The sequence below is a fragment of the Homo sapiens genome, chromosome 6 (genome assembly GCF_000001405.40).
Source record: "Homo sapiens chromosome 6, GRCh38.p14 Primary Assembly".
In the NCBI taxonomy this organism is placed as follows: Eukaryota; Metazoa; Chordata; class Mammalia; order Primates; family Hominidae; genus Homo; species Homo sapiens.
This window is the reverse complement of record NC_000006.12, coordinates 121,907,695-121,933,504: the sequence shown is the minus strand read 5'-3', so window position 1 is coordinate 121,933,504 and position 25,810 is coordinate 121,907,695. Positions and strand designations below refer to the sequence as shown.

The 25,810-nt window shown below is 35.7% G+C and overlaps 1 long non-coding RNA gene across 7 annotated transcripts in view, besides 1 other annotated feature; it reads right to left on the bottom strand.

Moving 5' to 3' along the window:
- LOC105377979 (uncharacterized) overlaps positions 1–25,810 on the bottom strand; it is a 288,164-nt gene that overhangs the window by 122,038 nt on the left and 140,316 nt on the right. For 5 of the 7 annotated variants that reach the window (XR_942936.3, XR_942937.4, XR_001744323.2 and 2 more), the window contains 2 exons: positions 16,005–16,161; positions 10,707–10,886 (listed from right to left, as the gene is read on the bottom strand). This is a non-coding gene — a long non-coding RNA (uncharacterized LOC105377979). The remainder of the gene's footprint in view (positions 1–10,706; positions 10,887–16,004; positions 16,162–25,810) is intronic. The other 2 variants (XR_001744325.2, XR_007059731.1) reach the window with 1 other exon arrangement.
- Positions 346–941: an enhancer, noted in NCBI's record as "OCT4-NANOG hESC enhancer chr6:122253710-122254305 (GRCh37/hg19 assembly coordinates)". NCBI's record gives its function as "activates a minimal SCP1, AML or CMV promoter by ChIP-STARR-seq in primed H9 embryonic stem cells {active_cell/tissue: H9 hESC(primed)}" and the evidence as "EXISTENCE:reporter gene assay evidence [ECO:0000049][PMID:30033119]".

Below are 25,810 nucleotides of genomic sequence, written 5' to 3'. Positions count from 1 at the left end.
GTGGAGTGACAAATGTTAAATGTTAATTTTTCATAGTAGAAAGTCAGTATGTATTGCTTAAAATTAAAAAACCAAAACTAACACTAAGCATATTATTTAAAGGAACAGAGGTAAGTAATAAAGGCAATAGCTAAAAGAGAATAAAGTAGTTGCTTCCAGGAAAGAAAACTGGGGTTGGGAGAGGTAGGCACTTCATTGCTATTCCATAAAAATAATACAAACCTATTGAACTATTTGCCCATTTTACTTTGATGTAGAAAAAAGAAAAATAAATTGTAGTAAAAATAACAGGGCACTCATAATATTGAAAAAAATGAATTTGATTAATAGGTATTTTCCATCCTAATTTGATAAAATATTTGTGGACAGCAGTGTCAAGCTTTGGTCCAGTTGAAAAAATAAAATAAAATAAATTAATTAATTAAATACTATGGAACTTCCTAAAAAAGAAAATAAAGATAAGTGTTTCTTTATCTTCTACTAGAGCAGTGGTTTGTTTGGATTTTTTTCTTTTTTTAAGAAACACCACTTTACTGGCCGAGGACTGCCTTTCCTGTGGAAGGAAAAGTTATGCTAAGCTGAGTGCTAAAGTCAAAGAGCTGCAGAGCCACTCCTGCTGTTTTCAATTAGCATGCCAGTCCCAATGGCATGTCCGGCAGACGGTGTTTTATTAAGGGTGGGTCATCTCCTCCTCCAAGCCACGTGAACAGCCTGCGGTTCTACATGCTTCCCTTGACCTTCCAGTCCCTCTGGAGTCGTGTGACTGCTGGAAGCTGAAGCCACAGCTGTCTGCCACTTGACTCCCAAAGCTCAGTGTGATCTGCAATCTTCCCTTGGGACAGAGAAGGAAAGCAAGTTGATGGAAAGAAATGTCTCTTTCTGAAATAAAATAGTTTCTTTTCCTTGAGCATGTTTGAGAACTTAAATGAAGGTAACGAGCATACAGAGATGTGGAAGGTTAGTCATGTAATAATGCTCAGCAGGAATCAGGTGGGAAGTTCTGGTCCTCTCAGCTAAGGGACTGGTTCTGGGCTAAAGGAGAGTGGCTCTTTACGAATTAGGATGGCAATCATACTGAAAAGCTCGGCATATATGACTCTGGAGAAGAGTGAGCTGACCTGGAATTTAGCCTAAAGAAGAGAAGGTTGAGGGTGATTTAAAGAGGAACTCTGGAGCAGGAAATGTCATTATATTAGGAATGAGGACCAGATGTTCTCAATCTTGTCAGAGCACAAAGTCGAGACAAAGAATGACTTTATAGAATAAGGCAGAACTCCATGACCGTTGTTAAACACTGGAATGGGGTGTTCGTGGAGGCTGTGGAATTCTCCATAAAAATAATTCCTTTGTCTCATATGAGCATTTGTGTGTAGGTTTGCCTTAAGAATTAAAGATTAATGAAACAATCTCTAGGGGGTCCCTTCGTGAGTGTTTTTTGTATCACAACAGTCTTTCAGATAAATAAGAAAAAAGGGCCTTTGGAAGTTCTACTTAGAGTAATCCCTGGATCCCACAGCTATAGGGGCCTGAACGAACAGTACAAACAAATTTTCTTGTTTTTTCCTTCTATTCTCTTTCCAGTTTCCTGTACTGTTTGTAAACATATTGATTACACTGATCAGAGTAATAGAGGGACAACAATCCCTCAATTGCACCCTTTCACCAATGGCTTTGTTCATTATTGTGTTGGAGATAGAAAAGTTTATTACTTAAGACAAATATATCTTAATGTCTTAGTCCTTCTTTGCAATGAAATGAAGTTTTGTTTCAAAACTTTTAAGATGCTCAATGAGATGACAGGAGTAATTTACAGGTTTGAATAAAAACGTTCCTTTTATTTTTCTTAAATGGTATGACAGGAACATATAAATATATGGTTAATTCTTCCATTTGATCTAGCACTTACTTGATATGAAATTTTACTTTAAGTCTTGCAAAATATCCATTCACCTTTAAGGTAGAACTATCCACATAACCCACAAGACTTGGATATGTCATCTCACAGAAATTTTAACAAACAAACCAATAACGTATTGGTGACTGTAATTCACTGTAATCTGTAGTTAGAATAAGTAGTTTTCAATTTATATTTCCTATGTTTCAAATCAAAGCTAACATTTTAATTAGTAAAATGACCATAAAAAAGTGGCTGATGGCTAATTAATACTGATTACTACACTGTTAGCTGATTAATGAGTTCAGTTAGTAAGATAGCTATGAATTTTGATTAGTTAAACTCATCTGTGTATCTTTCAATGAACTAAATTACAATTCTGTTTATTAACCTGCTGTAATTTTTGTGAAGTTTTCATATTATTTAACAAAGAAATGGTATTCAAAGGAAAAACTACAAATATATAAACTAAATTGATATATATATAAATAATATACAGCTATCTTCTCTTTGCATAATGACTAAAGTTAATACGATGACATTTTTCTTGCACTCATCAACACAGAATCACTGCACTTACTTATCAAATAATTTTTTAAGAAATAAATACGCAAAATTTCTAGGAATGAAAGGGTCTTGAAATCTATATTTTATCCATCCCTCTGCTTCTAGTCAAGGCTGAATTTAAAGCTGTCTCATAAGATGGCTGGCTCTTAAATCAACTAGCAAGCAGGAAAAGGAATGAGAAGTTATAGGAAGGAGTGTGAACAGCCAATATCACCATATTTGTGTCACAGTACCACCAGGGTTAAAGAATCTTAGGTGCCAATAACTTGTTACTCAGAGTATCAGAAACTGTGCTGCCCCCAAAGTACATAAGCAGTCCCAGAAGCCAGAACAAGTGACAGCACCTTGAGAGTTCCTTTAAGGAATACAAAAGTGTTTGCTGTAGAAGGGGTTCAAATATTTTATGTATATTAATTGATAATTTTATACCCTTAAATCTAAAAGAAATAGTGTTCTATTTTTATTAGGCTGCTAATAATCCATACTTGGGATTGTTATTTTGGCACCAGGTAGTTATGTCTACCTTCAAACTTTATCAACCTAAAGAGTAATGAGACCAAACTTTCTGTAACTCAATTACTACAGTAACGCAGAATTATCTCTATTCTATTGGAATTAATATTTGTACTATAAACTGTCTTTTTGTGCATCCCACTGTAGAAGATATGGTGTAACAGAGTACTATGTCATAGGGGAAAAAACTTTACTACAAAAAACCTTGGTAGTTTGATGACAAACTAGGTGTTGTGAGAAGAACAGATGTAAGGGAGGAAAGATGGAGGAAAAAGTATAACTGCAAAGTTCCTGGCTTGAGAGGCAGATAGACACAGTGCCCCAGCTGCTGCTCAACATTAGAATGGAAAGGCAGTCTGAGGGAGAAGAAATGAGTTTTGTTTAAAACTGTTGTATTTTAGTTACTTACATAGCTTCTTCAAAAAAAAAAAAAAAGTTCTAGGAAGTACAAAATTAGGATTGAACCACAAGCGAGAGGAGAACACCTAGGTCCAAAATGTAGGGTGTGGAAAGCATTGGATTGGAGTAGAAGCTCTCTGAGGCAATGCACACTGGGAAGTTGGACAAATAGTCATAAGCAGTTTGTTGGAAAAACAAGAGGTGAAAGAAATCGAAAAGATAAGGAAGCATAGCAATGTAGAAGCTTTATTTCTGTAACATTCTCGTATTTTTATATTTATGTGATTCTCCATAAAACCTTTCTTTAAAATTATTTTGTAAAGGAAGATTGCACAAAATTATATGCTGTTTGATAATATAATACTACAAGTTTATAAGGACATATAAAATCTTAAGAGGTTATTATGCCCTCTTTATGAAAATATCATAGAAAAAGAGTTTAAGGAAGAGGTGGTCTAAACTATTAAGAAATATCTGTTTGTAATTAACCCAAATGAAATCAGAACTATTTCATAGTAGATGAACTCAAAAAGTAGCTACATGATTTTTTATATTTTTTCCATAAGAAATATAGCTAAAAATAGAGACAGAATTACTCATAAATTTGTATCAAATATGTGATTTTTATTAAAAGTTTCCACTGACTTGGCTTTAATTCAAGAAGAAAACAATTCTATGGCAAACTTAATTCTCTAAATATAATATTTAGGCCTGGGTTATTTGCTTTTTTGTTTTGTTTTCCTCTTTTAAATCTTTCCTATTCGGTTTCTAAGTTTCCCAGACAGGTACAACTTTGTAATCCTTTCAATATATTTATATAATTTCATTTGTTTGACAACTTTCAATCGTTCGTCAGTATTTGAAATATGCTTTAGCTGCTTTAAAATAAATGGAAACAGAAAAAATTTGTTTATAGAAAAGGAAATAGGATAAAACTTTTCTTGAGTATAATTTAATAATATTGACCATGTTCTCAGTGGCTTTTAAACCATTTGACAGTTCAAAGGTGAATTTTTGGCTGAACAGACTCAGTTATATTCTGATGGGAACCATGTGCTGCTTGGTAGTTTCTAAGACTGTTTACCCTAAAATCAGTTAAAGTTGGATCTTTGTGGGGTTCTGTTTTTCTTGGGACTAAAATACAAATTCATATTTACATTTTTGTTTTTGTTTTTGAGACAGATGCTCACTCTGTCACCCAGGTTAGAGTGCAGTGGTGCTATCTCCTCTCACTGTAGCCTTGAATTCCTGGGCTCAAGGATCCTTTCACCTCGACTCATGAGTAGCTGGGACTACAGGCACACACCGCCAAACCCAGCTATTTTATTATCATTATTACTTTTTGGACAGAGAAGTTCTCACTAGGTCACCCAGTCTTGGTCTTGAACTCCTGGGCTCAACCAATCCTCCTGTTTTGGACTCCCAAGGTGCTGGGATTACAGGCGTGAGCTACTGCACTTGGCCCTATTTGACTGTTTTGAAGATTTTCCTGGGCATGTTTTGTGGTATTAAAATACTATTATGTACAGAATTAACAAAAAAGCTTTCTATAGTCTATCATATTTCACAAATCCCCAAACAGTTTTAAAATACTTAGTTAGCATTGAATTTTTCACATGATTCATGTGTAATTCTATTAGTGGCCTCATTTGGTAACACCTCCATAATGGTGGGCACAGAATTTGTCTCCATGTTTAAGGGACAATTTTGGAAGTTGGAGTCAATTTCATTATCTGGGGGCTGATTAATGCTAATTGTGGAGACAAACAGTGAGACAACACATTTGGGAACTTTCAAGATTTTTCCTAATTACCCAAAAGTCGACCAAAAAAAGATATAGAGATTTAATGCCTGAAACTAAAAGTAACCAGAGGACACTACTTTGTATAACAAAGTGCCCCTGCTCTCACCTATTGACTCTGTAACAGTCCTCCCTATTGGGAGGTGAGGGGATGGCTCTTCAGCATTCTTTTTTTTTTTTTTTTTTTTTTGAGACGGAGTCTCACTCTGTTACCCGGGCTGGAGTGCAGTGGTGCGATCTCAGCTCACTGCAAGCCCTGCCTCCCAGGTTCACGCCATTCTCCTGCCTCAGCCTCCCGAGTAGCTGGGACTACAGGCGCCCGCCACCAAGCCTGGCTAATTTCTTTTTCTATTTTTAGTAGAGACGGGGTTTCACCGTGTTAGCCAGGATGGTCTCAATCTCCTGACCTGATGATCTGCCCAGCCTTGGCCTCCCCAAGTGCTGGGATTACAGGCGTGAGCCACCGCACCCGGCCGGCTCTTTAGCATTTTTAATGTTGCCTTCCATGTGGAGGAATCCCACCAGTGTGATGCTCTTAGCCTCTCTCTACCCCTTCATTTGCTTCTCTTCAAAAAGACACAACATTCAATCTGATGGGTAAATCTGAAAAAAACTAGATACATATAAACTTGTTTCTTTCTATCCCCATTTCTTTTTGGGAGAAGGCATCTGGTAGTCCAGTACTTTTTGTACCTGGGTAGGTAAGTTTATCTAGTTCTGAGGATGAGTATTTGGAAGTTCACTTGCCCGCACATTTAAACCATATTCTATTTTATTAGCTTCATTGGGAATTATTTTGTTTCCCATCTGACTTACTCTTTTGTCCTACTTCTCAGTTAGTTCATAAGTCAAACAGAATAGAGAGGTGTTGAGAACTGAGCCCCTTAAACATCAACACTCCTCTCCTGGCTAACAGTCTCTTATTCACGTTTTCATACAACAAATATTGATGAAGCCTTTGCTACATATTGGATCCTGCACTTGGTGCTGTAGGTGGTGAGAAGGTGATTCAGTCCCAGCTCCAACTTAACCCTGGCTTAGGTCTATCTTCTGAGAGTGAATTATAGGGTCAGCCCTAAACCCAGACAAAGCCACTATGTTGGCTGTGAAACTGGAGGAATTAAGTGAGGAAAGGAAGGGAGCATGGGCTTTAATTTTGCCTTGCACAGCTCCTACTCCAATAATTGACAAAAGATAAATTTATTAAATGTAAACAGGTCAGACTAACAGAAAATTTTTTGTTCATGATTTATGAAAGTTTATTTGAAATTTAAGGTCTTTGTGAACTAAAATTATATTATTTTTACACTTTTGAATGATGCCTACAGAATCGTACTTTTGTTCCCAAATGTTGAATATTGCCTAAATAAATGTTTTGATCAAATCCATTTGACTATTTTTGCTTTAATTGTGATTTGGGTTGTCTATGAACTCCTTCTTCTTCCATCTTGTTTCCTTTATCCCAGTGATAGAAAGCTGAAACAAGTTTTCAACTTTGTTTAACAAGTAGAAACAAGTTTTCTACTTGTTTCTTAGTCTACTCACTATGTAATTAATAACTGACTAGATTATGAATCCATATCTCCTTTATGACTCTGTCTCCTAAATGTGTTGTTTCTGCCTCTTCACTGGGCTTTCTGAAACAGCCTTACAAAATTTAGGGGAAAAAAATAAAGGGAAAATGGATGGATCTTGGGACTCTCTTAACAGTAGGCCTAGAATAGTACAGAAATAACATCTTTGCAGAATGTGTTGTTAAACAGCTGGGAAAAAGGGAGGGAGGTTTCCCAAAATCCAAACAATGTTTCTTCCACCTGGAACCCATACCTGAGAGACCAACCTGTTCCAAATTCCCCTTTCATTCCAATCTACTGCCAGGCCAAGGTCTACCCAAACCTGTCTGTCACCTGTAATGAGCTGGATAATGTCAGTGGACTGGGATGAATTTCTGTTTTCTCAAAGATACTCTGTTCCAAGAAATATAAGGTCTTTTTCTTAACTATGTGAACAGTAAATGTACGTATTGTTTATGGAGCATGCCAAAATAGTTTAAAAATGATACTATGGAAAATTATTAACCAAGCACTTTGCAACTTTTCAAGATAGAATTTAAATGCAGTTTCAAGCACTCTCATTTAAAACATTTTTTATCTGTTTCTGACGGTGACTGATTTTGACTCTGCTAGGAAAATCTCAGGATGGAAATTTCCTGAGCTGACAGTAGGTCATGCTGAATTAGAGACATCACTCATGTTGGGGGAGGGGGTAGCAGTTAAAGAATGTAACTGAATTTATTTCTCATTAGTTATATATTCATAAAAGCATTGAAGAGTAATTTTCTAATTTTCCAGTTTTAAAAATAATGGATCAGTTTTTCCATGCAGTTTCTCCTAATATGATGGGAGCAAAGAGATACTCAAAGGAAGCTTCAACTCACGTCATGTTTCAGAACTTTTTTTCTTAAGAATGTTGTCTTTTTCTTTTCTTTTCTTTTCTTCCCCAAGTCCCTATTACTTTTTCCATGACATATGATTGGGATATCAAAAGCAGATATACTGTACTCTATAAATGGACCTCTAACATTTAAACCTAATTGAGAGGCACACAGAATTTCACTGGAAATTGTGACTCAGGCAGGCTGAAATTACACAGCCCGTCTGTGCCTACCTTTCATCTCCCAGTGTATTCCTATTTGAGAAAATTAGACTATTCCTTTGCTACTAGATATTTTTATTCACTACTCACACTAGTGGGCACCCTAAAAACTGAAATTTTAATATGGGGATAACAATTAATTTAATCCAGTGTTTGAGAGCAGGCCAGGAATTGAAGGCAAATGGAACTTTGTTTCTTTTTAATAACTTTCATTCCTCTCTTAGCTTTTAAAAAGAGAAGTTCTCTCTTGTGCTCCTTTCCTGACATCATCTTTAACTTTGTTTGCTCTTATCCTTTCTTTTGAAAATTTCCCCCAATTCAATGTAACTGTATTAATCAGCTCTAGCTACTATGATACTACATAACAAACTACTCAAAAGTTCAGTGCACTGGAACCACAAGTGTTTATTTCCTCTCCTACAGGTCTGTGGTTTGTTAGGGATGGCTCTGCTGTAGGCTGAGTTGACTGTGCTGCATCCCAGGCTTCAGGTTAACTACGAGTGGGCTTTGTATGTCTCCACATACCCCTAGAACCAGGAGCTATCCAAGTCATGTTCTCTTCACAGTGGCTCACAGAAGCCCAAGGAGGCAAGCAAACACCTAGGATGTCTCTTAAGATCTTGACTCAGAATTCTATATTCATTGGCCAAAAACTTCATGTGGCCAAACTGAACATCAGTGGAATAGAGAAATCTCCACTCATAGTCATGCACTGCCAGACACATGGCAGGAAGGAGAATTGAGAAAAATTACTGAATCTATAGTGACCAATGGGAGATAAAATATTCCATTGTTTCTGGACTCCACCTCAGGCTGCACATTAAATGTGATGTGACTTGCCACTGGTGTTATATTATACGATAGGTTCCATTAAAAATAAATGTTGCATTTAAGACAATGTTGTATTTTAGAAAATGATTTGTACACATTTTATCAACCTCATGTAGTAATGCCAATTACAAATGAACACACAGGATTTCATAGCCATTTATACAGATAGGCAAGCATTCTCAGAAACATTTGTCTGTCTCTTGTGTTTATCAAACATAATTATACTTCCCAAACCCCAGTACATCCTTGGTTATTGCAGTGATTTTCCTTCATTCTCTCTACCTCTGATTCCATGGTTTAGGTTAAAGCACGGAATAAGGAAAGTTATACAAAAAGTTAACTAAAAAAATAAGAAATTAGAAAAGGAAAATGTAACAAAATGTGAGTGCTAGGTAAATGGGATGAAACAGCTCTGGTAATACTCATTGTGAGTCTATTCAGATCAAATAGACTAGAATCTGAGGTCTCTATTCAGTGCCAAGTGAGCCTTAAAAACATTACAAGGAAATGAATGAATTCATCACAATGAATTCCTACTATCATCTTAAACCTGGAATTTAAGATATGTCACCAAAACTGGTAATGATAAAGTCTCACTAACTAGTCAGGAGCCAACTCTAGTGACTGAAACAGTAATCTGATATGTATTATGTGCCTGGAAAATAAGTAAACACTCATAAATGTTTACCATTATTATTCCTTTTATTATTGTATATGAGCTACTGTGCTACATGTTACAGATAAAGTGGTGGGCAAAACACATATGGGTGCACTTCTGCAAATTGTCCAGTGGCTAAACTCAAAATTTGGTCTTAAGACTATCAGGTGGACCTATACACAATGAATTTTGTTTAAGAGTAGTTTTTGTGAAAATTACTTGATGCTTTTAGTTCGCTGCATACTCGATTTGAATTAACAACAGAATATGGCCACAATGGAAAATTGTTTTTACTGATAGGTTAATTAATAGAGATGTAGTTCCCAAATAGGTTAATTAACAGAGATATATTTCCCAAGAAAAGGAAGGCAATCACTCCACTTTGCTCTTGATAAGTCAGTAAACATATGAAGAACTATATTAAGTTTATGTTACCAAGTATTAACATTTTCAGAAAATTAATGAAAAATTGAACTATGCACAGAAGAGGGTATACAAAAGGGTAATTAATCTGGAAATGTTTGTGTAAGGAAAAGATGAAAGGACAAGTGACTTTTATCTTAAATAAGAGAAATAATTTTTATATAACTGTTTCTTAATAAGTGTTTAAAAGGTTACTGTGGTCAATATATTATTTTGTTATTATAGAGGTCAAAACTTGGTGTAAAGACAGAACTGATTGCCTTTAGCATAGGTGTAACTACAATTGTTGTATTTAAACAAGAAAATAGATACCTATATAACTTGATATTTTTTTCCTGGAAATATTCAGGAAATGCTTGATGGTATGAATAATTATTTAAAAATTTATTATTTCAGGCTACAGTTCTATGTTACTAGTTTTCCAAAGGAACATGCATATATCCTGACCCACTAATTTATTCATTTGTTTAGTTTTTAATTCAACAAATATTCTTTGAAAATTTACTAAATTTTGTGCAATGATCTTGTCACCAGGAATATAGCAATAAAGAAGAAAAACAAAATCATTGTCCTCATGAGCCCTACATTCAAGTAAGTAAAAAACTTGTAAATAAATCTTCTCATATTATTATAAATTCTATTAAGAACATGTATTTAAAATTGTTTCAAGAATGTCAAAAACGCATGTTTTGTGTGTGCCCACTCCCCTTCCCAACTCTATCACTTTCGATCTCTTTTCATTTTCATGCTCAGATCTAAATGTTTAAGTCATGATATGGTGTGGCAGAGGAAGGACTGTAATATGCACTAGACAGATCTGGTTTCATCCTTGGCATGGCTATTTACTAGCTATGTGAGCTACTTACTTGGCCACTTTGACCCTCACTTTTCTTATTTATAAAATGCAGGGAAATGGTGACAGCATTTGTACAACGATAAAATGAGATGACATGTGAGATAGTTACCTTTTTTGATAGTTCTTTATTGGCAGCTCCCACCATCACCACTCTTCTCCACAGATCTATGTATTCTCTTCCTCTGCCTTACTTGAGGCCTGGAGGCTGAACTTCAAGGAATGCATCTCTTGGTTTCCCTTGTTGATTTGTTCCCAGTTCAGTTCAGCGATTGGAAGCACTGGCAGGAGACTGGAGAATACAAAAAAGAGAGGTAAGAGTATTTCTTCCCTGATGTTTCCATGTGTTGGCAGGTATATTTAGCACTAGCTGCATCCCTCCAAGACCAATGCTTCAACCAAGTGACCCATATTTTTAATAATCCTAGCTCCCTCTGTGCTTGAGTAACTTCATTTCCTCCCCGACCTTTTTGTCCTGGGAGTAATATGTTTTCTTACTGATGTTAGTCCATGGATGGCTCACTATCCCTTCACCCCCACCACACACATCCATAAGTAGTCCTTCATTAAAGTCTCTGCATTTGAACCATCTGGGGAGAATCATTTCCTGTAGGGATTCTGAATAATACAGTATTTACTACCAGGAATAGCCACATAAAGTAGCTCCTCAATAGGGTATTCAGAAGCTGGTTTGTTAAGTGTTGGATGAAGGCATTATCTTCCTGAAGGAAGATAGGAGATAGGTAATGGCTTGCTGTGGTATCATCATTACTCAGATTATTGCCAGTGTTGGCATAGGATGGAGGATCCAATAATGGTAATTATAAAAAGTATGGGCTGGCTAGCTACTTATGACTATGCAGGGAGCTAACCAAAAAAAAAGAAAAATGCACAGCAACTTAAATTTCAAACACAAAGCACTAGTGGAAAACTAGACAGCTCCTATAATGAACCTTAAAAGAATCCCTTATATCTAGTAACTACAGGGCAGACATGCCTGAAGACTGGGCCCCAGTGTATAATTGCGTAGGTAGCAGAATTGCTGCATTTTATAAATGCACATAATTACCAAAGCACTTATGATAAAGTTAGGGCATTGGTTGAAAAGTTACACTGTGAGACTGGGGATGAGGATATTTGGATAGGATAGACCCATTTGAACGTGTAAACTTTGATTTTCTAAATCACTTGAAGATTATTTTGCAAAAAGGAGCCTTTCTTTCCCAGTGTTAGAAAAATAAACTTTCTGTGCAGAAAGACCTTTAAATGACCTTTCAATGACCTAATCTGCACTTTTGACCTACAAAGGGATGCCAGTTCTTCTGAAAAGCCACCCCCCACTATCTCTCATTGCCTCTGTACCCGTAACTAGAGCTATATCTCAGCAGCCCTCAGGTATAGAATTGATAACCCTATTTCAAAAAGAGAGTATATATCATAAGACTTAAAAGATCTTTTAAAACTGGATCATCAGGCACCTTATAACCTGTGTAGGGATGGTTTCTAAGAGTGTTATATTGAGGAAGACAAAATATAAGGGTGAATTGAGGCAATTCATCAATAGATAATAGATGCACTTCCCAGTATTTTGAATTAGTGTGCCAGCCAAGGCAACTTTAAGCACCTCTAGTAGTTTCCTTTGTTGGCTTCTGAAGCCTGGATTCAATGAAAAACAACATTTCATGATATTAATCTGCCAGAACTTTCTTGCTCTAATTTGAAGAAAAAAAAAAAAACACAAGACTTTAGAGAATTAAGGTCTTGAGGCAGATTTATTATATGCAATATACACACCTTCCTTCTCTGTCCATCAAGAGATGCCAGAGAACACTGTACCTTTTTCTGTGAAGGCATTAAAAAATTAGTACTCTTTTCCATCAAGGCAAGTAAGAAAATTCACTATGAAGAGAATAGCATCTTCAGAAAGTTTTGAAGTGGCTTTTTGGCAAACTGAAAATAAAGGTGGGGGATGCGGCCATTGTATTAGGATCTCTCATTTCTTGGAATCTCTCATTTCAATGAGAATAATGGAATCCTGGGGTAGGAAAGGCCATGTGGTAGTGCTTAACCTTCAGAGAAAAGGTGGTTGCAATTACCATAATCGGCCACAGAGATGGGGTGGCAATCAGTGTTTTGACCTGCAGGAATCTGTGGCGGTGGCTAATGACAATGTTCCCTGTAATAAAGTGGACGGGCAGTTGATGAGGTATTACTTGATCTATATAATTGGAAAAAGTGTATGTCTTTTAAACAGAAATCTGGCTTGAGTTGCCAAAGGGCGGGGGGTATTCACGACCTCTTATAGCCTCTCATTCAGTTTCTAGACCTGGGAAGTTTTTGAGGACACTGCAAATCAGCCCCAGGGAAGAAGGTTAGATGGTCCTTGGAGAATGGTTGTGAATTATCAACAATTTTATCTGATTTTAGCTGTTATGCTAAAAGTGATATCTAGACTGGTGAAAATTAACATAGCTCCTGCTTAATAGGATAGCAACTATTCACCTGGCAAACATTTTTTTTCTCATCCCTGGGGATACTATATGAAGCCTCCGGGACATACAGGGCATATACATAGAATTTTGGAGCAAAGCAACAATTCGTCCATTTGAGAAGCAGCTGTCAGGAGCATCACTTCCACTGTAAAAAGTTGCTAAAATCTAGTGTTTGGGGTTTTGAATGCATAAATGTCTAGCTAGAAACCACATCTCAACCTCCCTTGTAGCTAGGTATCCCCTTCCCACAGGTTGCATAGATATGCAGCAACCCAGCTTCTACCATACAGAAGAGGATCATATCCTAGGGGTAGCAAATGCTATAAACCTGAGTTTCTGAATAATCACCTGCAGCAGAGCTGCCCCATCAGCCCACACTGGCCAGACATTTCATAAGAGAGAGAGAGAGAAACTTACATATTATTTAGACCACTGTATTTTGAGGTCTTTCTATTTCACCAGCTAAGCTTTTGCCTTATCTAATATTCTTTGAATGTTGCTGTTGCCCTCATTTCCTTCTTCCTCCTGCTGTTACTAGAATGAATTCTCCACTGACCTTTCAACTTAACTAATAAACAATAATAAACTTAAAGAATACCAGATGTCATTTTTTACCTATTAATTTGGGAAATAATATTTAATAACATTCACTATGAGAGATGATGCATAAAATATAATTCTCACAGTTGGTAGAATGATAAATTGATACAAACTCTTTGGAGGATAATTTGGCATAATCAATCAAAATTTTGAAAGTATGTAGTCTTTGATTCAGCAATGCCATCTAAGAAGCTGTTGTATATGTACACCAAGTTGTGTTTATAAGAACATTGATTACAGCATTGATTGAAGGAGCAAAAATGCTGGTAACAGCTTAAAGTTATCAATGGGACAAATATTAAACTGAACTAGTGTCTCTATTCTGAAATCCCATACTACTATCAAGTGAATGATATAGGTCTAGACATCTTGATATAGAATAAACATAGAAAAATCTCCACAGTGCTGCATGAAAAAAGCAAGGTACAAATTATTTGCAAATAAAAGCATATAAATATATTTACTACACAGATAAGCATACACACACACACTCACACACACACACAGTTATAGAGAGATTAAATGATAGACAACATACAAATTCTAGAAGGAACATCTATCCCCTTAATGGACTTTGGGGAAATTTCATTTTTAGCTGTTTATGTGTAAAATGGTCTTGAATTTTATATAATAACTTAATAATTAGAAACAACAAAAAGAAACTATTAGGCTTAAAGAACTTAAAGGGGTTGGAGGAATTCCAGGTTCTGCTTTGGGGAAAGTTATTCTAAATCTAGTAATTCCTTTCCCTTTTTAAAGAGCAAACTTATGCCCCCAGAAATCTTTTACACCTGTTAGGATACACATTATCATTGTTGGCTAACTTGCCCATGAATTTCCAGAGGTAAATAATTTTTTTTCTCAAAGTAAGGTGTTAATTCATCTTTAAAAAATCCAAGATTTAAAAATCTGAGAGGAAATCTTGTAAATACATAATTTATAATTGATGTGGTAAATCATTCTGGATAAATGTCTGGTTTATTTTTAGTTCAATTAACATCAGGGATAGAAAGAAAAACCATCCACAAGCTTACTGATGTTCACAATAAGTATTCTAAAAGTCACTTAGTAACAGTGGCAATTTACAAGCTCACTAACAACCCCAAACTATTCCCTGGATAAACTTTGTCAAGTAAACCTAATTTTATTCCTAAAGGCACTATTTCCATCCAAAGAATTACATTACATTTCTACATTTGCTTCTCTTTGATTATTTCTTTAGTCTTAATGCTTGAGGAAAGTAAGAATGTCACGGAATACTTCTTTTCTTCCTGTTTTACGTAAAAGATTACAACTCAACCTGGAGTACTTCATCTCAACAGACTCATCAAGAGAATGGTTATGAAATGTTTTTAAATGGGTACCTGTCAGATATTTTCCCTCCTCCTATGGTTCACAAGATGAATCCTTATCTAGTGTTACATTTAAGAACAATGCTTACACATCTTATGAGTCAATGTTGCTCTTGTTTCAGAGAGTGATTAAGACTTTTCTTTTTGCACACTTCTACTGTTCTCAGCTTGGATGTGGGGCATTTTCCAGGGAGTGCCCTTTGCTTTGAAGTTGCCTTTCCAATCCTGTTTCCTGTTTCTTCTGGGAGGATTGAGAAGTCCTGCTTTTCCAGTTTGATTTATTCAAAGAAGAAAAATATTTCCTTTGAATTTATTAGAGCTTTTTGGTTTTTGTCACTTAGTACTGGCATGAACTTTTTTGTTTGGGTTTTGGTTTTGGTTTTCTTGCACAGAAGCAATTGCATTAAGATAGTGGTTTTCAAACTGTGGTCCCTGACCAGCAGCATCTGTATAACTTGGGAACTTATGAAAGCACAAATTCTCAGCTTCATCTCAGATTTACTGAATCTAAAACTCCACCCAGCATCCAGACTGGACTCAGCAATCTTCATTTAAACAAGCTTTCCAGCTGATTCTGGTGCATGCCTAAGTTTGAAACCCCACCACCATCACCCCTACCACCACATGAAATAATATGAAAGGGGCTTAGCATTTTAACATATTGCAAGTATACCTGAGCAATTTACACTTGGAAAATGGGACATTATGTTGGGCTGGATTCTGGACACAGTATGGGGTCATCAGAAAAGGTGTTCTGAATTTGAGTGCTATTGGCCACTGACATGGAGGGGTAGACATGGGGACTGAAGTGTCCATTTCTTTATTCTTTTGTTTAAGTACTCCTTTAGCAGGAAGTACCTGAACCTTGGTACTTCGAGTATGTTCTGAGGACCAGAATCATCAGCTTTGCAGAAATTCGTCCAAGAATGTGCATTTTAAGTAGTTCACCTGATGATTCATACTTACATAAAAATGAGAAGAGTCATTGACCCAGTGAGTACCTGGTGGCCTTCAGTTCAATGTCAAGGTGCCTCTTCTTGCACTTGGTTTTGATTCACGCTCTTCTGATACTTGAACTGCTTTACTGGATTTCTGGCATGTTGCACTTATTTTCTTCTCTTACCTAAGTTAAATAAATGTGGAATTGTTGGGTCAAAGACTATGTGTCTTTTAAACATTGATAGACACTACATAATTGTTCTCTATAGAATGGACCCCTTTATCTTTTCATCAACAATTTGTAAGGGTTCCAGTTTTTTCCAACCTTCTGCCATACTGCATAATTTTAAAATATTTAATTTTTTCCAAAACTAAAGGTGAAGAGTCTTATTTTTGTTCTAATTTTTATTATATGTTGGAAATGTTGCTTCTTTTCTGATGTTTCTGTTTAACTTTATGCCATCATTGATTATCTATTATGTGCCATCAACTTGCAAATTATTTTAAATATATAATAGGTAACATAATAATCCTGCAAGGTATGCTTTATAGTTTATAATTTAGACCTAAGGATATTCAGGCTCAGAGCAATTAAATCATTGGTCCACTAAGATACACATACATTACACATAAATTAAAATGTTATGCAAAAATTAAAAATCAAGTTCAATTCAAACATGCATGTATTTTCTATGAAATTGTGCTATCTCCCTGTTCAGAAAAATCTCCCTGTTCATAAGAAAAGTGAGGAATACCAAACTTGGATTCAAGAAACTATAAGCAAGAATGAAGAGCTGAAACTAACTCTCATGGGTAAAAAATGTCAAAAAAAATTATGAGCTAAATGCTAGTGTGTCATGTAATAAATAAAAAGAAAATGTTACATTCAGATTATGTTTTCCCATTATCATAACTGGTTGAATGTGAAATAAAAAGAATCAATGAGTTCACAGTTTCACTTGTGCAATATTAAAATATTTTTATATAACTAACTTTAAAACTTATTTTCTTCAATAAAGTAACTTTGCTGCTTTGGTGAAATAATACTACTATTAACAATTATGATATTTATTAATTTACTACTATGTGACAGCCACAATTGATGGTCCTTTAGGTATATTAACTAATTTAATCCTCTTATCAGCCCTATGAGGCAGATATTATTGTTAGAGTAGGTAGACAGGCAGATATAAGGGGGGCAGGATAGGGCCCCAAAAACTATCAGGAAATTTTCAGGCATTTGGTAACAGAGAGGGATTAAATCCAGAATGTAATCCCTTGACGTAACCCTCCCAGCTATTTTTTTTTTCTTTTTTTGAGACGGAGTCTTGCTCTGTCACCCAGGCTGGAGTGCAGTGGCACGATCTCGGCTCACTGCAACCTCCCCATCCCAGGTTCAAGCGGTTTTCCTATTTACTCAGGAGGCTAAGGCAGGAGAATTCTTTAAGCCCAGGGGTTTGAGGCAGCAGTGAACTATGATCACACCAGTGCGCTCCAGCCTGGGAAACAGAGTGAGATGCCATCTCTAAAAAAATAAATTATTTAAAAGGAATGAAATAATAAAATAATTTAAAAAATAGATGTGCCTACATATACACTTAAAAATCTAGAAAGGCCAGAGCAATTAAGCAAGAGAAAGAAATAAAAGGCATACAGGCTGGGTGCAGTGGCTCACACTTTTAATCCCAGCACTTTGGGAGGCCGAAACACTTGAGGTCAGGACCATCCTAGCCAACATGGTGAAACCCTGTCTCTAACAAAAAAATACAAAAATTAGCCAGGTGTGGTGGCGGGTGCCTGTAGTCTCAGCAGATAGGGAGGCAGAGGTGGGAGAATCACTTGAACCCAGGAGGCGGAGGTTGCACTGAGATCCCACCACTGCAGTCCAGCCTGGTTGACAGAGCAAGACCCTGCCTCAAAAAAAAAAAAAAAAAAAAGAAAGAAAGAAAGACAGGGAAGCCAAAATGGAAAGGAAGAAGCAAATTAGCTGTATTCACAGATGACATGATCTTATATTTAGAAAAACCTAAATACTCCACCAAAAAAATTGTTAAAACTGATAAATAAATTCAGTAAAGTTGCAGGACACAAAATCAACATACAAAAAATAGTAAATTTATATGCATCAACAGTGAACAATCTGAAAAAGAAATCAAGAAAGCAATTCCATTTATAATAACTACAAAAAATTAAAATACCTAGGAATCAATCTAACAAAAGAAGTAAAACATCTATAAAGGAAAACTACAAAACTCTGATGAAAGAAATAGAAGATGAAACACATGAAAAATGGAAAGATACTCCACGCTCATGGATTGGAAGAGTTAATATTGTTAAAATGGCAATACTACCCAAAGCAATTTACAGATTCAATACAGTCCTTATCAAAATACCAATGATATTCTTCACAGAAACAGAAAATAATCCTAAAATATCTATAGAGCTACAAAAGACCCTGAATAGCTAAAGCAATCTTCAGCAAAAAGAACAAAGCTGGAGGCATCATACCAACTTACTTCAAAATATTACAAAGCTATAGTCACCAAAACATTATGGTACTGGCATAGAAACAGACACATGGACAAGTGGAATGAAATACAGAAAGCAGTTTCATGCATATACAACCAACTCATTGTTGATAAAGACTCTGAAAACTTCCAATCAGAAAAGGACAGTTTTTTTAAATAAAGGATGCTAGGAAAACTGGGTAACTATATGCAGAAGCATACAACTAGACTCCTACCTTTCACCATACACAAACATCAAATCAAAATGTATTAAAGACTTGAATCTAAGACCTGAAACTATAAAATTACAAGAAGAAAACATTGGGAAACACTCCAGTACATTGATCTGGGCAAAGATTTCTTGTGTAAAATTTCAAAATCATAGGCAACTAAAGCAAAAATAGACAAATAGGATTATGTCCAAATAAAAAGCTCCTTCATAGCAAAGGAAACAGCAAAGTGAATAGATAACCCACAGAAAATATTTGCAAACTATCCATCTGACAAGGGATTAGTAATTAGAATATATGAGGAGCTCAAGCAACTCAATAGTAAAAGAAATAAATAATACAATTTAAAAATGGGCAAAAGATCTGAACAGACATTTCTCAAAGGAAGACATATAAATGGTTAACAAATGTATATAAAAAAAGTTCAACATCACTAATAATCAGAGAAATGCAAACCAAAATCACAATGTGGTATAATCTCACCCCAGTTAAAATGGCTTGTATCAAAACGACAAACAATAACTGCTGCTAGTGAAGATGCAGAGAAAGGTGGACCTCCATACACTGTTGGTGGGAATGTAAGTTAGTACAGCCACTATGAAGAACAGTATGGAGGTTCCTCAAAAAGCTAAAAAGAGAACTTGCATTTGATCCAGCAATTTCACTACTGGATGTATATCCAAAAGAAAAGAAGTCAATATGTCAAAAAATATCTGCACTCTCATGTCTGTTGTAGCACTATTCACAACAGCCAAAATGTGAAATCAACCTAAGTATCTATCAATGAATAGATGGATAAAGTGTGGCATATATATACAATGGAATATTATTCGGCCATAAAAAAGAATGAAATCTTGTCATTTGCAGCAAAAAGGATGAAACAGGAGGCCATTTTCTTACGTGAATAATCCAAGGACAGACAGACAAACATTGCACGTTCTCACTCATATATGAGAGCTAAAAAGTAATGGATCTCATTAAGATTGGTAGGCGGAGGGATATAGGGGGGAAAAAGAATATAAATGTATTTATTTCCACTGAACTGTACACTTAAAAATACTAAGGATGGCAAAGTTTATATGCATATTTTACTTCAAAAAAAATTTTTTTAAAAAGTCTTGAAACAAACCCACCTTATATAATTTTCTCACATGTTTACAAAGTGGGGCAATATTTTTAACAGAAATACCTAATAAAATTTCTTGATATATAAGTATTGCTGATTTGCCTTTCTAAACTATAAATTGCTTGAGAAAAAGGACCTGCACAATCTGTCTTTGAAAAAATACCTCTTGAGGGCATAAATTAGTTAATATATGTCAGGAAATTGATATAGGCAAATATTGAAATATTTTAAAAGGTTTCTCTGGCTGAAGAGTTTTGTTTTTATTTCAACTGCAAACTATTGGCAAATGCAGTTATTTTTACCTAAGATTGGGTATATGATTCTTCAGTGATAGGCACATGAAAATTTTTTTAATGATGCAAGCAACATTTAACAGTGTCTTAAAAATGACTGTGGATTTGGGCTTTGATGGCTCCTTGTTTTATTATTTTTCTAAGCTAGATTTCTTACCATTAAATATGTGCATTGAACCCAAGTGTCATGAATGGGCATGCCATCTTAGGAAAGCAAATAAATTTCATAAGCTGAACATTTTAAATGTTTTCTTAATTTCATTATTGAGTGCTTTGAGATCAAGTATAAGAAGCAAGTTATAAAAGTCGTGCCAATCATAATTCTTTGGTGGTGAGTCATCTTCTCATCTATTTCATCAATCATTCTTCTTTGTTGTGTTTTGAGGTTAGCTTCTTATCCTTGCAAATTCAAACCCACTTATTGCCCTGATAATAAATTGTATTAATGATGATACCACCTCTGCCATGTAACTTTGGGCAAAAGACTCAATCTCTTTCCATGTCATTGTTTGCCACCCATATGAGTGCAATTTTAATATTTTAATTAAATCTGAAACTGTTGATCTAGTCACAGGGTTTTAGTCAATGTAACAACATAGAAAGAGGCCAGCAGATAATTTTCTTTAAATTAGAGTCATTTATTTTGCAAAAAATGTATTGTCACTCACCAAAAGGAAATATTTACAACTGGCTCAACTATTTTCATTATCAACCCAAAGGTATAAAAAGTACTTACCCATAGGGAATTTAAAGTACTAAAATTTGATCACAAACCCTGCTCTCTGGTGTTAAGAAAGTAAATAGGAAGGAGTGACATCAGCAAGATGGCCAGCTGGAATTACTTGGTGCTTGTCCCTCCAAAAAAAAAGGCACCAAAACAATAAATAAACTAATATATTCCAAGTGGATTGACTGAAGAAGTAAGCTGGAGAGCACCCAGGTAGTGGTGAAATTCTTATGCAGCACAGAAACTCAGCACAGCATCATAGAGAGGTGAGCAAATCACCTACATCTGCTACATTGTCTTCCCCACCAGAATTGGTTCAGACCCAGAAGGAACTTCTTACGAGGAAAAAGATAGCTGGAAACCTGTAGCAGTCCCCATTACCACCACAAACACCTGCAGTCCTTGCTGCAGAATACTCCTACAAGCCCCACATCCAGTTTTGAGAGTCACCTGAAGAACACACAACTACATTGCAAAGTAGGAGCCTACATTGTTTACTACTCCCCTGTGTCCTAGGCTGCTACAGCACAGCACCACCCTGACTCCAGACCCACTACTAGAGTGCTTCCTGCCCTGGGGGTCAGTAGCCACTGCCTGTCTCCATCCTTTAGGCTCTGCCATTATTCTACCATATTCACATGAGTGGCTACATTACCATGACCCTGGCTCCCTAGACTGTAGGCCCAGCAAAGCAGCTGAGACCCCAGTGTTTGAAATCATGCAGCATTCAATTACCCTGAGAATAAGCCAAACTTCACAGAGAGGAAGCTAACACAGAGCCAGCTGGCCTGCTGCACTTGTGCATGCCTGCATCTGGCTCTATAGCCAGTACAGCAGTGGTCCTACCACCTGGAGAGCCTGCCACACAGCCAGCCAGACCACTGTACCTGTACTGGCACATGCTTAACCCAATAGCCAGTATGCAGGTGGCCCTGCCCCCCTATACAGCCACTGCACCATCCTGCTGGTCTGCTATGCCCATGTGCACATGGCCTTACAGACAGGATAGTGGTAGCCTTGCTTCCTGGACAGCATGTAGCACAGCTGGCCAGCCTTCCACTCCCACATGCACCTAGTCTGATAGCCAGCCCAGTGACACCATCCCCAGAAAAACTGCACCACTGCTGTCACAAACTTCACAGCCTAGGCCACCAAAGCAGTGGGAAACATCACTGATGAAAATTACAACTGAAGAAACTGCACAAACACCTTGCTTCTGAGTCCACTGAGAACCAAAGCCAATATACTATACCCAACTGACACCCTAGGACCCATCTACAGAAAAATGTCTCTCCCTATGAAACACTGCTTTATAAAATTGAAAAAGGTGACTGTTTCATTACATGTGCAGATACCAATGTAAGGACACAGGAAACATGAAAAAGCAAGAAGAAATATGACACCCCCAAAGGGGCACAGTAATTCTCCAGTAACAGACCCAAAAGGAAAGGAAATGTATGAAGTGCCAGAAAAGAAATTCAAAATGATGATCTTAAGGAAATTCAGTGAGCTATAAGAGAACACAGACAAATAATCTAACATAATCAGGAAAACAATTGATGATCTAGATTAGAAATTTAACAAAGAAATAGATATCATAAAAGAGAGCCAAACTGAAATCTTGGAGCTAAGTAGTTCAATGGATAAATTTAAAAATACAATTGAGAACTTCAACAACAAACTATATCAAGCAAAAGAAAGAGTTCCTGAACTTGAAGACAGATCTTTTGAAATGATCCAGTCAGAAGGGGTAAAAAGAAATAAGAATAAAAAAGGGAAAAAAGAAATAAGAAGTAAAAATAATAAAAAGAATAAAAAAGAGAATATGGGATATCATTAAGCAAGCAAATATTCACATTACTGAAATGTTAGAGAGAGAAGAGATGGAGAACTTCACAGAAGAACTATTTAATAAAATAATAGCTGAAAACTTTCCAAGTCTTGGAAGAAATATACACATCCAGATTCAGGAAGCTCAAAGCTTCCCCATTCAACCCCAAAATGTCTTTTTGTGTGTGTGGCACATTACACCTAAACTGTCAAAACAGAATTTTTAAATGATCAAGAGAAAAACTTCAATTTACATATAAAGAAATTCCAATAGACCAAATAGTCCTAGCAGTCATTTACAGAACACTCTATTTTACAGCTACAGAATCACATTCTTCTCAACTGCACTTGGGACATTTTCCAGAATAGATCATGTTAGGATACAAAACAAGTCTTAACAAATCTAAGAGAGAGAGCATATAAAGTATATATTCTAACCATAATGGTATAAAATTAGAAATAAAAAACAAATCAAAAATTTACAAATACATGGAAATTAAACAACATGCTCCCAAATAACCATTGGGTCAATGAAGAAATTAAAAGGTAAATTTATTGAGTCAAATGAGAATAGAAACATCATGCCAAAACCTAAGGGACACAACAAAAAACAGTTGTGAGAGGGAAGTGAATAGCAATATCCTCCTATATCACAAAAGAAGAAAGATTTCTAATAAACAATCTGACAAGGAAAGTGAAAAACAATAATAAACTAAATCCAAGATTGATATAAGGAGAAAATAAAATAATAAGGCCCAGAGAAGAAATAAATAAAATAGAGATTGCAAAAACAATTCAAAAGATCAATGAGTGAAAAGCTGCTTTCTTGGAAAGAAAAACAAATCTAACAAACCATTATCTATAAAAATTTTAAAAAATGAAAAAAGACTCAAAATCAGAAATGAAAAAGGAGACATACAACTGACACAACAGAAATACAAAAAATAGGACTATTATAGACAACTACATAGCAACAGATTTGTTAACCTAGAAAAAAATAAATTATAAAGAAATAGAAAATCTGAACAAATTATGAGTGAGGAAGTTGAATCAGTAATAATAATCTTCCATTGGAGAAAAGCCTAGGACCTGATGGCTTTACAGATGAATTTGAAGAAGAACTATTGCCAATTTTTCTCAATCTGTTTCAGAAAATTAAAGAGGCAGGAACACTTCCAAATTCACTTTATAAATACAGCATTACTCTAATACAAAAACCAGATCAGGATACACACAAATAATAAAATTGCATACCAATACCCCTGATGAACATAGATGCAAAAATTCACAATGAAATACTAGCAAACCAAATTCAACAGCACAATAAGATTATTCACAGTTCTCAAAAGAAGACATTTATGAAGCCAACAGACACATGAAAAAATACTCATCACTGGCCGTCAGAGAAATGCAAATCAAAACCACAATGAGAATTCTAACACCAGTTAGAATGGCAATCATTAAAAAGTCAGGAAACAACAGGTGCTGGAGAGGATGTGGAGAAATAGGAACACTTTTACACTATTGGTGGGACTGTAAACTAGTTCAACCACTGTGGAAGACAGTGTGGTGATTCCTCAAGGATCTAGAACTAGAGACACTTTTTGACCCAGCCATCCCATTACTGGGTATATACCCAAAGGATTATAAATCATGCTGCTATAAAGACACATGCACACGTATGTTTATTGCGGCACTATTCACAATAGCAAAGACTTGGAACCAACCCAAATGTCCATCAATGATAGACTGGATTAAGAAATTGTGGCACATATACACCATGGAATATTATGCAGCCATAAAAAAGGATTAGTTCATTTCCTTTGTAGGGATGTGGATGAAGCTGGAAATTATCATTCTGAGCAAACTATCACAAGGACAGAAAACCAAACACCATATGTTCTCATTCATAGGTGGGAATTGAACAATGAGAACACTTGGACACAGGAAGGGGAACATCACACACCGGGCCTGTCATGGGGTGGGGGGAGGGGGGAAGGATAGCATTAGGAGATATACCTAATGTAAATGACGAATTAATGGGTGCAGCACACCAACATGGCACATGTATACATATGTAACAAACCTGCACATTGTGCACATGTACCCTAGAACTTAAAGTATAATACTGAAAAAAGTCTATTCACTACGATTAAGTGTGATTAATCCAAGGCATGCAAGGATGGTTCAACATAATGCAAATCAATAAATGTGATATAACTCATTAACAGAAAGAAAGCTTAAAACCATATTTTTATTTCAATAGATGCATAAAAAGCATTTATTAAAATTCAAAAATCCTTCACGATAAAAACGCTCAACAAATTAAATATAGAAGGTTTGTACCTCAACACTGTAAAGGCTACAAATAACAAATCCACAGGTAACATATGAGTAGGCAAAGGCTAAAAAGTTCTTCCTCTACAATCAGAAAGAAAACAAGGGTCCTCCCTTGTACCACTTCTGTTCAACATAGTACTAGAAGTCCTAGCCAGAGCAATTAAGCAAGAGGAAAAAATAAAAGGCATCCAAATAGAAAAGGAGAAAGTCAAGGTGTTGTTGTCTGCAGATGACATGATACTACATACAGAAAACCTTAAAGACTATACCAAATAACTATTAAAACTAATAAACAGATTCAATAAAGTTCCAGGATATATAATCAACACAAAATTACAAATATTTCTGTATGTTAATAGTAAACTATCTGAAAAAGAAATTAAAAATCTATAATAGCTACAAAAAAGATACCCAGGAATAAACCAGGAGATAAAAAATCTGTCCCCTGAAAACTACAAAACACTGATGAAAGAAATTGAAGAGGACACACACACAAATGGAAAGATAAACTGTTTATGAATTGAAAAAAAAATATTGTTAAAATGTCTATGCTACCCAAAGTGATCTATAGATTGAATGTATCCCTGTCAAAATACCTATGACATTCTTCACAGAAATAGAAAATCTTCTAAAATCCATATGGAAATCCAAAAGGCCCCCAATAGCCAAAGCAATCTTGAGCAAAAGGAACAAATCTGGAGGCATCTCACTATCTTATTTCAAAATATTTTACAAAGCTATAGTAACCAAAACAGCATGGTAGTGGCATAAAAATAGATG